This window comes from Homo sapiens, chromosome 7 (genome assembly GCF_000001405.40).
Source record: "Homo sapiens chromosome 7, GRCh38.p14 Primary Assembly".
Classification (NCBI taxonomy): Eukaryota; Metazoa; Chordata; class Mammalia; order Primates; family Hominidae; genus Homo; species Homo sapiens.
Genome location: NC_000007.14, coordinates 32751842 through 32765800, shown reverse-complemented (window position 1 = coordinate 32765800; position 13959 = coordinate 32751842). Strand labels below are relative to the sequence as shown.

At 41.4% G+C, this 13959-nt stretch overlaps 1 long non-coding RNA gene across 1 annotated transcript; it reads right to left on the bottom strand.

Moving 5' to 3' along the window:
• Positions 1–2876: 2876 nt before the first annotated feature.
• On the bottom strand, positions 2877–7515 carry LINC00997 (long intergenic non-protein coding RNA 997). Its single transcript, NR_036501.1, has one exon. It is a non-coding gene; the product is annotated as a long intergenic non-protein coding RNA 997 (long non-coding RNA).
• Between the last annotated feature and the right edge of the window lie 6444 nt (positions 7516–13959).

Genomic DNA, 13959 nt, shown 5'->3' with positions numbered 1-13959 from the left:
ACTAAAAGACAAAGGAAAAACTGAGGCAAGTTTTAGATATCCATAACCGGATTAGAGATCTCTATGTAAGACAAATAATTTGCAGCCAGGTGCAGTGGCTCATGCCTGTAATCCCAATACCTTGGGAGGCAGAGGCGGCAGGAGTGTTTGAGGCTAGGAGTTTTAGACCAGCCTGGGCAACATAGTGATACCCTGTCTCTACAAAAATAAACAAATTAGCTGTGTGTGGTGGCCTGCACCTGTAGTCCAAGCTACTCAGGAGGCTGAGGCAGGAGGATCGCTTGAGCCCAGGAGTTCAAGGTTGCAGTGAACACCATCACACTTTAGCCTGTGTGACACAGTGAGACCCTATCTTGAGAACAGCAACAAAAAAAGCTAAATCATGAGGCATGTCTGTTTCAAAGATAAGATAATGCAAGAATATATTGCATCATACCTAATTATAATGTGCTATTTTAATTGACAATTCATCATAGATTAAATTATCAGGCTAACTGCTTTAAGTTATTGTCATTAGTTAGTATGCAGCTAAAATGCGACTAAAATAACCATTGAAAATAACGAGGTCAAAATAAGTGACCTCTGTTAGAGAGGCTGTAAAAACATGAAAACATCCATGATTCTATTTAACCGCACATAAAACTAAGTGTCATGATTTCCCTCTTATACACAAATCTACTCCTCTCCTTAGTAGGAGTAGATACATAATGATTTAGGCAACTATCTCTGTTAACTAATGAACCTAAAACATGTACTACTGTTCAATAATTACTAACATATCACTTGATGACAAACAAACCAAGTGAGCAAAATATTAATTGGAAGTGTTGGCAAAAATAGCAATAACTTTTGCACCAACCTAAAAATCCTCACTACTGCACTATAGGATGGCCAGTCTAGAACATAATAAAGGAACATTTGTTTAAGCACGTGCTTTGTTTTTGATGCTTTACAAGCATTAATTCATTCGATCACATCATCAGTAAGACAAATATAACTGTCTTCATTTTTCAGATGAGGAAATTAATCCTAGAGTGGCTAAATTACTAGCTCAAGGTCATACATTGGTAATCTTCCTATATGAGTCCCCTGTGTAAAAGATTTAGAGCAGCACATGGCACACAGTTAATTTTATGTGTTACTAAACATATGAATCATAAAATATATCCTGCTTCATTTTTCCTTTAACACTATATCATGACTATTTTCCCATATTATTAAATATCCATGCAAAATGACTTTAGTGGCTGTAATGCTTCATTATATGAATGTTTCATAACTTAGTGTTTGGCATTGAGGCCATTTCTATTTTTTCAACGATATAAATAATAGCACAATGAACATTCTTATAAAAAGATTAATTTTTTAAATGATAAAATGACCAGATTTGCACTTTCAAGGACTAGATCATGGGTAAGAGCATATTTTATCCCACCAGGACACCAAGTGATGCAAAAGGCAGTTGGAAACTCCAGAAGAAACAAACTGACTAAAAAGAAAAACAATCACTCCACTTCACTTATTGTTGCAAAAAAATTAAAAAGTCATACTTTAAAATAAGGTCCTTTATTTTGAGTTTGCCTAGCCATTCAAGAATATATTCTTAACAACCACCATAAATACTTTGTATTTTAAATGCAGTATTGGACAGATAGAATTTATTAGCTGTTAAAACTTGGGCAAATAACTACATCCTGATGCTTGATTTTAAAATTTGCATATAGTTATTGCATGAATTAAGTAAGAAAACATTTTGAGCACCAAACACAATGCCAGGAATGTAGAAATGCTCCTTAAAAAAAAATCTCCCAAAACAAGAAATGAACAGTAATAGCACTTACTGAATTTAAATGAATGACAAGATAAATAGTACTGTCAGTTAAGTGCTCTAGACCTTCAGAAAAAGCATAATTAATATGGACTGGAGAAATGGGCTGGGGCTTGGAAGGTGATAGCATTCAGATGGGCAGGGAGAAAAGGATGTAAAAGCCAAGGGGTGGCTTTTCCATATGAGTAAAGGAATTCAGCAGTTATGGTGTCTCAGGCTGTGGACCTCACCTGAAATGACTGGGATGGAAGATTTGTGCCTGAGGAAGTGGGAAATTAAAGTTGAAAAGGTATATTGGGCAATTATTGAAGGCATTGGTGAGCAAGCCTAGGACTTGATTTGTGGGCTATGGGGAGCCATGAACATTTTTGTGCTGTGTTGCATCAGGAAAAATTAACCTGGCCACAATGAGCCATGATTTAGACTGGTCAGTTAGGATATGGGAGTTCAATTTGATCCATCATCAGACAGATGGGAAGTGAAGCGGTGTGGGCTCCATCCAGCATATGGCCCGTGACAAGAGGACATGGAAAATGTCAGTGGCCCCAGTGCATCTGTGCCAGCCGCTTTGGCCTCCTGTAGGGCTGCGCGGTGACTGGGAGCTAAGGGCTCCCCTCTTAGTTGGTCCTGGCTGGTGCTGAAAGCGCTTGAGCACACCGCTCCTAGGGCTGACGACTTCTGAGGAACCTTATTTTAAAAGCATTTTGCTTTAAGATTCAGTAAACGCTGTCCCATGCCAAGGAATTGGCGTCAACCTGAGGCTCTGGGATCAGACCCACCGGACTCAGGCCGGCTCTGCCACGTGTTGCCCGCAGTCTCGGCCCGTTCCCTCCGCATTGACAGCGGGCACTGACTGTCCGATACCCCAGCGATCGTAGGAGAGCAGAGACGTTCCTAATGCCGCGGGCACCACGGGCGGGCCTGCGGGTCCGTTGGCTTTCCTGACACACTTCCTACAGTCATTTCTTTCAGCTGAGATCTTCCCCTTTAATACTTCGTTAATTTGTGGCAGGACGAGTCGCAGACAAAACTCCTCAGACACCAGATTAAAGAAGGAAGAGGTTTTTTATTCGGCCGGGAGCGTCGGCAGACTCGTGTCTTAAGAGCGGAGCTCCCCGAAAAAGAAATTCCTAGGCCTTTTAAGGGCTTACAACTCTAAGGGGTCTACGTGAAAAAGTCATAATAGATCAAGTAAGCGTGAAAAACGTGACTGGGGGCTACATACATCAGCTAACAGAACAAAAAGTTTTACAGTACTTTCTCATACAGTGTCTGGAATTTACACATAACACCAATAGTTTTGGTCAGGGGTTAATAATATTATTATTATTTTAGCCACCAGGGCCAGGTGGTGGTGCCAAGGTCCTCCAGCTATTTATCTTACTTCTGTTTCTTTCTAACTTTTTGCTTTCTCCCTTTTCTCCTGTCTTATAAAATAGGGAATAGGAGAGGTTGGGGAGAAACTGAGAAGGACAATAGGAGAAGTGGTGACCTCATACCATAAATTAACGTGTAACCTTTTGGTTAAAATGTCAAAGCTAAGACTAAACTCGAAGAAAAGAATTAAATCACGGGAAGTTCTTCAGACTTAGTCGCCAGCAAGGTTATGGCCCGAAGTGGTGCAGGGGCGGCACGCGGGGAAGCGACTGGCAGAGCTGTGCGCACTGGGGGTGCTGCAGGCGCTGGGGAGAGTGTGGAGAGGCTGCGTGGAGCTGCGCGCTCGGGGTGGGGGCTGCACTCCCAGTGAAGCGCGTGAAGGGCGAGCGGTGATGGGTTCTGCGCCAGTGGGGCTGGGAGCGTGTGGGGGGCTGTACGTGCAGCTGCCGCAAGGTGGAGAGTGCACGTGTGGGCTTGGGGACTACGCGCACCGGGGGCTGAAGGCGTTGGGGAGGGTGTGGGGGGCTGTGCGTGGGGCTGCCCTCACTGGAAGCTGCACGCTCAGGGAAGCTCGGAGGCGGGGGTCCTGCGAGTGCTGGGGAGCACGTGGGGGGACACGCAGGGACTGCCCGCGCAAATGGCTTCGAACGCATGCTCCCCACCCCACATTTCACAGTCGCCATGACGACCAGGAGGTCCGCAAGGGCTGCGGGGACAAGTCCGTTGAGGCTGCCAGGCAAGTCAGGCCTTTCTGGACCTCGCCTGACTGAGCTGGGCTGTGCCTGAAATTGACCCAGCTCCGCCAGGGATTATAAGAAAACAAGTAGTAAGCTCAAAGCCGCTACAATCTTCCCGCCCTGGAGCCAGAGGTGGAAAAGTCGGCCCTATGCGGCGGGAACCTGCCAAGGGGCGCCCCAAGGTGCTCCACGCGGAGGATCCGAAATCTGAAAGCACAAAAAGGCTTGGAGCTACAGTTGGGGGCCAAGACCCTTCTTCTCGGCCCCTTCCAGTTCGTCCATAATTTCCTGGCGCAGCTTCGGGAAAAGGTGCACGAACTGCAGGCGCGGCAGTTCTCCAGCAGGACCACTCTTGGCATCGGTGAGGAGAGGGCAGGAGAGCCCTGGGAGGGAGCCGCATGGCGCTTTTCTTAAGTCTTGAAGGAGATCAGTTTAACAAGCAACGGTTTGTGGGTGCCTAGTAGCAAATAATAGCAAGGTCCGAGTAGAAAGCAGTTGGCCAAAGATCTTGCCATTGAACCAGGGGAGAGAGATGGGGAGTATATTGGTTTGAAGGGCTGTCAGATCACAGAGAGTGTTTTAAGGTCTAGGAGTTTTAAAGGCTGAGGGGAGGGATCAAGGGAAGAGGATGAGATTAAGATTCCAAGAGAGGAAATAATTAGTGGAGCAAGTCTTGGAATATTTGGGAGGGGTAGAATTAAAGGCACAAATTTGAGAAGCTAACTGTGGAAAAGAGGAGAGAGAATTCCTTTTCTGAGATGACAGGGAGTAGAAAAGTGAGGATTACTATATGGAGAAATGTTAAAGTGGAGATAAAAGAAGTCGGGAGTGCTGGCGTCTAATGGTCTTTGTTTCAGTGAAGTATGAGACTGGGTCACCTTCAGAGGTGAGATTGACAGGATGCCGGGGTCCAAGGGACATGCTTCTGTCACAGCTTGGAAAGGGCATGTGATAAGCCCTTCAAGCATTTAGAATACTGGCATCGTTACACCATATCATTTTTTTTCAGATGTGGTATGTGGGTTAAGGGAGGGAGTGAGAGACACAGAAAGATTTTGAGCATCTTTGGAAAGCTGGATGAATTCGGTAGTATATTTGACCTTTTCCTTATATATCATCTGAAGAGTTTTTGCCAGTGTATATAATTGTTAGGAGAATTAGAAATAGGATACAAATATAGTTGAATAGGATAGTCTCTGTATATTTTAAAATTAATGAAGCCTAATAAACAGTTAATGAGCATATTTACAAAAATTTAAAGTTTTCAGCCTTTTAAAAATTATAGCAACTGTGCTTGCAGACAGTCCAAAAATACACTGTGGGCCATACTTTGCCTATCCTGGTGTAAAACAAGTAAATCTTCTGAGAAGTATTTAAGATAAGCCCAGGGCAGTTAGTAGTATAGGAAAAGGTCTGGATAAGCATGGTTGAGAATTTCAACATTGCAATTTTTTAATTTTAAAAAATTTAATTTCTTCAACAATTATTAAATTAATTTGCATTTATTTTGTTAGCCAAGAGGAGTAATTTTTGAATTTTTAAGAGGCTATTATTGGTGGTTTATAAGACGACTTGCCAAGTATATTTGGGATAACCATAAGAAATACCATTATAAAATCTCAGAAGGGAGGTAGGACTTCTGGAATAGCCAAGGAAATGCACTCCTCCATGATGACAATGAAAATACTTGGAAAATTATCAAAATCATTTTCTTCAAAACTTTGGAAGTTAACCAAAGGTTTACAACAATCTAAAGGGCATTAATTCAAGAAAAGCTGCTGAACCTCTATAAGAACAGCAAAGTCTGTGGTGTTTTAACTTGTTCTATTCCCCACTTTTCTCTCTCCAGCTCCATGGTACCCTTGAAAACAAGCAATTCCCCAACGAAACAGGGGCACAGGCTGCGTTTGCAGCTCTGGTAAAAGCTCCATACCCAGAGCAGTGTCTCCCAGCTCCCTGGTGAAGTCTTACGTATACATGGGGTGCTGGCACAGGTGCCTCCAGATAAGTCTCCTAGGCCATCTAGTAGTTCCTAAGTCTGGGCGCTTGCAAAGAGCTTGCAATTCATCAAGGGTTGAGTTGCACAATGGGGCTTTTAGATGTGCTGCTGAGGAAGTGATTGCCTGCATTTAATCGTCTTCTGATGAATGCTAGAGAAACTGATCTAGAGTGGCACCTCTTGGTTAGAACGAGCTGAAGCATACTGTATATATTTACTTCTTTAAAAAATTTCATATAAAGGAATAGAATACTAAAAAGAAAAAAAAACAAAAAAGGTCACAATATTCCATAATTCCATCACTCCTACCAATTAACTGAAGTAAAAAAACCCTCTCAAGTCTCTCCCTTTGCTTGTCAAGCCCTGCTGCAGAGAGGTAAGCTCTGTTCAGAATTTACTTTGTGTCCTGGATTTTTTCCTATGCTCATAGAGACAGGATTAGCTGGCCATCTTGCTTTCTGTGCTATCTTTTCTAGACATGTAAAATAATACATTTGAAATACTTGTTTTAATGGTATTTTATAATAAAGCAGCTTTTAATAACTTTTCTCTTTTCCAGCCGTCTTTGTGGCAATTTTACATTGGTAAGATTTAGTTTCAGTTCGAAATATTTAAAAACATTTGAATTAAAAATTGCCATCACTCTTTGCATACAGTAAAACAATAACTTCTGGCTATATTTGTAGAACATCTTTATGTACGCCATTTTATACATATATTTTGCTTTTTTACAAACCTCATATGTGAAACAGCATTTACAAAATAGATGCATTGGGGGAATAGTAACTTATGAATTAAAATATTTTGGCTTTACCAAATAATTCACCACGTTTTTAAAAATATCTAGCTTTTCTAGTGTATTTTGCATGTGTAGTTCATTTAAAACCCTCCTTTGTTTTATGGTAATTATATGTTGCTAGTGAAATAACTTTTTTTTTTTTTTTTGAGACAGTCTTGCTCTGTCTCCCAGGCTGGAGTGCAGTGGCGCGATCTTGACTCATTGCAACCTATGCCTCCCAGGCTCAAGTGATTCTCGTGCCTCAGCCTTCTGAGTAGCTGGGATTACAGGTATGCGCCACCACACCCAGCCAATTTGTTGTATTTTTAGTGGAGATGAGGTTTCACCGTGTTGGCCAGGTTGGTGTCAAACTCCTGGCCTCAAATGATCCACCTGCCTTGGCCTCCCAAAGTGTTGGGATTACAGGCATGAGCCACCACGCTCAGCTAGTGAAATAACTTTGGTGATAAAGTTTTAGTAACACCCGCCAATTGGAAGTCAGGTAAAAAAGAAGATAAAGATTCTGCAGTGGTTATACAGAGTTAAATGGCTTTGACTCTTTCAGTGTGCAAGGCTGTGTACATTATTTTACAAAAGTGTTTATAAAAATTTGTAAAATAATATTTCCCTCTGGAATATTTTATTTTTACCTGTGCTCAGCGATTTCTACCCTTGGAAGGTATGAGATCTGCCCCTATGTTCTATTGATACAGTGCTGCTCTAGACATTTAGTCTGCAGGGAGATTTTGGTATTAGAACTGAGGCTGCAATGCTAGGGAATATTCCTGCAGTTTTTGGTACCCTGGCATATGTCCTACATGTAAAGAAGGGTTAGTGGAAAACAGGGTTAATACATGGAACTTTGCTTTATTTTCAACTTCACTGGAAAGTACTGACTACATAAGTTAGCTATAGCATAATTGTTGACCACAGCTAATTTTGTTTATCACATATGCTCCTTTCTTCACTGCCTACAGCTGCTGAGTTTCACTACTAAAAGGTCTTCAAGTACACACCTGTATTCTTTGGCGCTTGAAAGTTGATCCTTTATGTGATATTATACTTATTGTAAGTCTGTTTTGATCTAAAGTAATTTTATTTAAAATTATATTCTGAACCCTTTTCAACAGTTACGGAGGTATTTCCCAAGGCTGGTACATTAGAATCACTTGAAACTTAAAAAACAAACACTAACCTGCCTCTGTTCTGATTTAGAGGCCTGGGATGGAAGGAAGGGTGAAACAAGCCACAAGAATTTTAGATATACAATTAAGTTGGTTTTTTTTTTTTGAGACAGAGTCTTACTCTGTCGCCCAGGCTGGAGTGCAGTGGCATGATCTCTGCTCACTGCAACCTCCGCCTGCTGGGTTCAAGCAATTCTTCTGCCTCAGCCTCCCTAGCAGCCAGGATTACAGACATGCACTACCATGGCTGGCTAATTTTTGTATTTTTAGTAGAGACAGGGTTTCACCATGTTGGCCAGGCTGGTCTCAAACTCCTGACCTCAAGTGATCTGCCCGCCTCGGGCTCCCAAAGTGCTGGGATTACAGGCATGAGCCAACGCACCCGGCAACAATTAAGTTTAAAAACCACTGAGTTAAGGAATTTCAGGTGTGTGCCATACTGCATTATAAATGCCTAAAAACATACGAGTTAGTAAGCAAATTATAAAAACAATATTATAACAATTTATTGTTTCCTTTTTTATGGCTTTCTTACTTATCGCTTATTTTAATGTTGGTTTTGAAACTTGTTCTTATTGTAATATGATACTTCATTGCACTGTTTCATAAGCTATAACCCAGGTTTATTATTTAAATAGTAAAGTGTTTGAGATTATTTTTCTGTTACTTCATTATCTCTCACCCTTTCCTAATGCAGACTTCTTTTTAAGATAATGAAGATGAATTATAGTAGCTGAGGAAGGAGGACAAAGAAAGCACTGAAGAAGTGATAAAGGGGAATGAAATGAGATGTTATCAGAAATTGCTTTTTCTTTGGCTACAGTTGGGAGGTCCCATGTTTTACTGGGTCTTTTACTGATGATGATTATTATTTGGTTCTCTTTTGATTTCAAGATAATCTCTTTTAAGAGATGACTTTTGATATAATTTTTAAATATTTTTCTGTTTTTCGATACTTAATCTTTAAAATGGAGTTTTCTGCCATACACATCTCACATAATTATTGTGAGGAGTAAATGGGATAGCGAATACCAAAATTGTGCAATTTTACATTTAGAAGACACCACAACCGTCCATCTTCCAGATCTGCTCCCAGCTGGTCGGGGGCCTACTGAAGCATTGAAGCTGACTCTCCTCACTCTAGCCATTGCTTTTTGTTTAAATTATGGTGAAATTTAGATTTAAGTTTGTAATAGAAAAATGTCAATGGTTATCATTTAAGCGTACAATTCAGTGACATTAAGTACATTCGTGTTGTCTTGCAACTATTACCACTGTCCACATCCAGAACTTTTTGCTATCCCAAACAGAAACTCCACCCACTAAACACTAATCACACTCAGCTCTATTTTCTATCTCTATGATTTTGCCTATGCCAGGCCCCTCCGTCACTGCTTTTTAATTTTCATCCCTATATTGCCCCTATAAAGTTTCAAAGCATTGGATACATTAACATATGTATGACATTTGAACATTTTAAAGAGAATATTTAATATTTCCCTAAATATAGACTTTTGCATATTAGATATCCTTTAATTATTGTATTGCTTTATCCTCCTAAGCAGAAAGGAAAATTCTTTATGAACTCATATTTTGCCAATCAACTATGAGGTAATGGCCTTTCAGACATCAGCTAAAACAGACGTTTAATTTAGTAGTTACTCGTGTTGGATGAGGCAGATATGATTATAGCATATAGCATTTTTTAGGGAGAATGCATTTTAAACAATGTGGCCCTTTTTTGCTTTTAGATTTTAGGAGCGAAAGCAAGAAATTGATGGGGAAATAAGACATAACATGCTATTGTTAATCCATGAATTTTAACTCAACAGCACTTTTACTATCCTAATGAAGCCTTTATTTTATATGCTGAAGTGTAAGACACTAAAATAATCTGCTTTTTAGTACATAGTATTTGTGAGCAACAATAGTCAATCAACATTGAGCTTTCACTTAGCACAGAGGATTAGATGGAGCTATGAATTAAGCTAGAAGCACTGGATTCCTTGCTCATGATGCTTATGGTCATTATATTTTATTTCCTAAGAGCATGGGAAAAAAAGAAGTAATTTTCTATATGCAAAGTTGTACAGAGGCATGAAGGCATCCCTGTTTATGACAGAATTAATCAGATGTCAACCTTCAAGCATCTCAAATGTGGGGGATAAAACCAGATTTGGGAAAATTGAACATATACTGTCTACACATTTTAAGACATTATTAGAGAAACTCTTTAAATCATTCGACCATCCCTCCAACTCTTTAGTTTGAAAGCCTATAGAAAACTTGAAAGAATAGTACAGTGATCACCTGAAAATACGTGCTTTTTAAAGTCCAAGAATGCAAAATAGCGAGGCGTAATTAGGAAGTCTTATTATTGACCTTTTTTTTCAGAAAAAAATGTTCTAAAGAAGTGATAAAAATAAATATTTTAAAGTTTTAATTACATTGACAACATGTGCCTTCTTTTTTTTTTTTTTTTTTTAAAGGGACTTTTATTCCTACTTCGAGACCAATATTGAAGCACCTTCATTTTTGGAAGGACTGGGGACGATAATGAATGACAGGCTTACTGAAATCCTCTTGGAATTAATGCAGTAAAATGCTTCCATCTTTATCCAGAGGTGAGTCATAATTTGAGACAAATAATATATTTATAGAGTGATCCTCTTTATCAGATAAAAATAGTAAGCACAATCTTTTTAAGAAAGGGAGGGGACCTTTCACGTTTATTAGTTGTGTGTATCCTTATAGTTGAGCAGAATATCATAAGTTCCTCTCTTAAAATTTAAAGACCCCAGAAACTGTTCTCTCATGAACTCAAAGAATGAACTTTAGTGTGTAAATAATAGCCAGGGTAATAGACAAGCCAAATGGAAAAGAGAGTCATGGGAGCCAAAAAGGTTCTAAATGGGGATGGGCTTTTGGCTTTGGATACCTCGTAGGTGGGCACGATGACCACGTGAAGGGACAGTGAGAGTGATGAGCTTGAATAGTTATCTTGGACTTACGTTAGTAAAGTAAGATTTATTTAGTCACACAGCCGGAAATCTATTACTATCTTCCAACACTTAGCCTAAAAGACTATGGTTGTTTTTTTTTTTTTTTTTTTTTAGTATTTATTGATCATTCTTGGGTGTTTTTTGGAGAGGGGGATTTGGCAGGGTCATAGGACAATAGTGGAGGGAAGGTCAGCAGATAAACATGTGAACAAGGGTCTCTGGTTTTCCTAGGCAGAGGACCCTGCAGCCTTCCGCAGTGTTTGTGTCCCTGGGTACTTGAGATTAGGGAGTGGTGATGACTCTTAACGAGCATGCTGCCTTCAAGCATCTGTTTAACAAAGCACATCTTGCACCGCCCTTAATCCATTTAACCCTGAGTGGACACAGCACATGTTTCAGAGAGCACGGGGTTGGGGGTAAGGTTATAGATTAACAGCATCCCAAGGCAGAAGAATTTTTCTTAGTACAGAACAAAATGGAGTCTCCTATATCTACTTCTTTCTACACAGACGCCGCAACAATCTGATTTCTCTTTCTTTTCCCCACATTTCCCCCCTTTCTATTCGACAAAACCGCCATCGTCATCATGGCCCGTTCTCAATGAGCTGTTGGGCACACCTCCCAGACGGGGTGGCTGCCGGGCAGAGGGGCTCCTCACTTCCCAGATGGGGCAGCCGGGCAGAGGCGCCCCCCACCTCCCGGACGGGATGGCTGCCGGGCAGGGGCTGCCCCCCACCTCCCGAATGGGGCGGCTGGCCAGGCAGGGGCTGGCCCCACCTCCCTCCCGTGCGGGGTGGCTGGCCGGGTGGGGGCTGCCCCCCACCTCCCGGACGGGGCGGCTGCCGGGCGGAGGGGCTCCTCACTTCCCAGATGGGGCGGCTGCCAGGCGGAGGGGCTCCTCACTTCTCAGACGGGCGGCTGGGCAGAAACGTTCCTCACCTCCCAGACGGGGTGGCGGTCGGGCAGAGACACTCCTCAGTTCCCAGACGGGGTTGCGGCCGGGCAGAGGCGCTCCCCACATCTCAGACGATGGGCGGCCGGGCAGAGACGCTCCTCACTTCCCAGACGGGATGGTGGCCAGGAAGAGGCGCTCCTCATTTCCCAGACTGGGCGGCCGGGCAGAGGGGCTCCTCACATCCCAGACGATGGGTGGCCAGGCAGAGACACTCCTCAGTTCCCAGACGGGGTCGCGGCCGGGCAGAGGCGCTCTTCACATCTCAGACTGGGCGGCCGGGCAGAGGGGCTCCTCACATCCCAGACGATGGGCGGCCAGGCAGAGACGCTCCTCACTTCCCAGACGGGGTGGCGGCCGGGCAGAGGCTGCAATCTCAGCACTTTGGGAGGCCAAGGCAGGCGGCTGGGAGGTGGAGGTTGTAGCGAGCTGAGATCACGCCACTGCACTCCAGCCTGGGCAACATTGAGCACTGAGTGAGCGAGACTCCGTCTGCAATCCTGGCACCTCGGGAGGCCGAGGCGGGCAGATCACTTGCGGTCAGGAGCTGGAGACCAGCCCAGCCAACATGGCGAAACCCCTTCTCCACCAAAAAATACAAAAACCAGTCAGGCGTGGCGGCGCGAGCCTGCAATCCCAGGCACTCGGCAGGCTGAGGCAGGAGAATCAGGCAGGGATGTTGCAGTGAGCCGAGATGGTGGCTGTACAGTCCAGCCTCCGCTCGGCATCAGAGGGAGACTGTGGAGAGAGAGAGGGAGAGGGAGACCGTGGAGAGGGGAGAGGGGAGAGGGAGAGTATGGTTGTTATAGTAGTCTATAAATGCTAGAAATTTGAAAAACGGAGACAAAATTAGTGAACTCAGTTTGTGAACTCAAGATAAATGCTAAATTTGACACCATGGTAAATACTACTGTTGAGTTTAAAGTTGTCTCAGAATCCAGCATATTAATGAAAAGTTACTGCTTTCTAGTCCTTTATTCATATTTTTATAGCTTTTAAAAATTATTATTCTTTAGATTTTGAAATGCTTAAAACTACAGAGACTTAGAAAATAATATTCAAATATGTGTGATCAACCATCTAAAATAAACGCTAATCTTTGTCATTTTTGCATCAGCTATTTTAAAATAATTAAAATATTATAAATACAGTTAAAATCACCTTTGTTCTGCTTCTAGTCCAACTTATACCTTTATTAAAATTTGGTGTGTGTATCCATCCAATCTCTGTTTTTAGAGATTGTTTTATTATGTGCTTTAAGTCCACATAAATGATCTCATACTGAATGTGTCACTGTAGGATTTTTTCTTCAAAATTGTATTTTTGAACTTTCTGTATATATATATTTCTTTAATTTTAACCATTTTATGAATTCTAAAGTTTATGTATTTCCCCATCTTAATATATTATTTCCAATTTTTTGATTACAAGCAATGTAATCTAAAATGTACACTTTTGTATGGTTTTCTTCTGTGTATGTGCAATATTTTGTCTAGGATATATACCTAGAAGTGGAATTGCTGTTATAGAGTGTGTGATTTTTCAGCTTTACCAGATACTGCTAAATTGCTGTCTGAAGCAAATGTGGCAGTTCACACTGCTGTCTAGAATTTTCTCATATCCTTATTAGATTTTGAATTGTCAGACCCTGTGATTTTTACTCTTATGATGGCTGTGATATGCTTTTTTGTTTTAATTTGTACTTCCCTTATTATTTATGGGGATAAATATATTTCCACGTTTAATAAGTATTTGGATTTTTTCTTCTATCAACAACATATATAAATCTTTGTCACCAAATCAGCTTTTTTGAGGTATGACTTACATGTAATAAAATGTGCCAATTTTGAGTGTACCATTCTCTGAGTTTTGACAAATATATGAAGCTATATATCCATCACCACAATTGAGTTACAAAACATTTTCAGAAATGCTCCATTGTGGTAACTGTCTTTTCCCCCATTGAATTAATTGTCTCCGTACATTCACTGAAAATTGATTGATCACATTAAATATGAATCTGTTTCTGGACTCTATTATTCTCTTGATCTATAATTATGTCAATACCACACTGTCTTGATTACTGTAACTTTACAATAAAT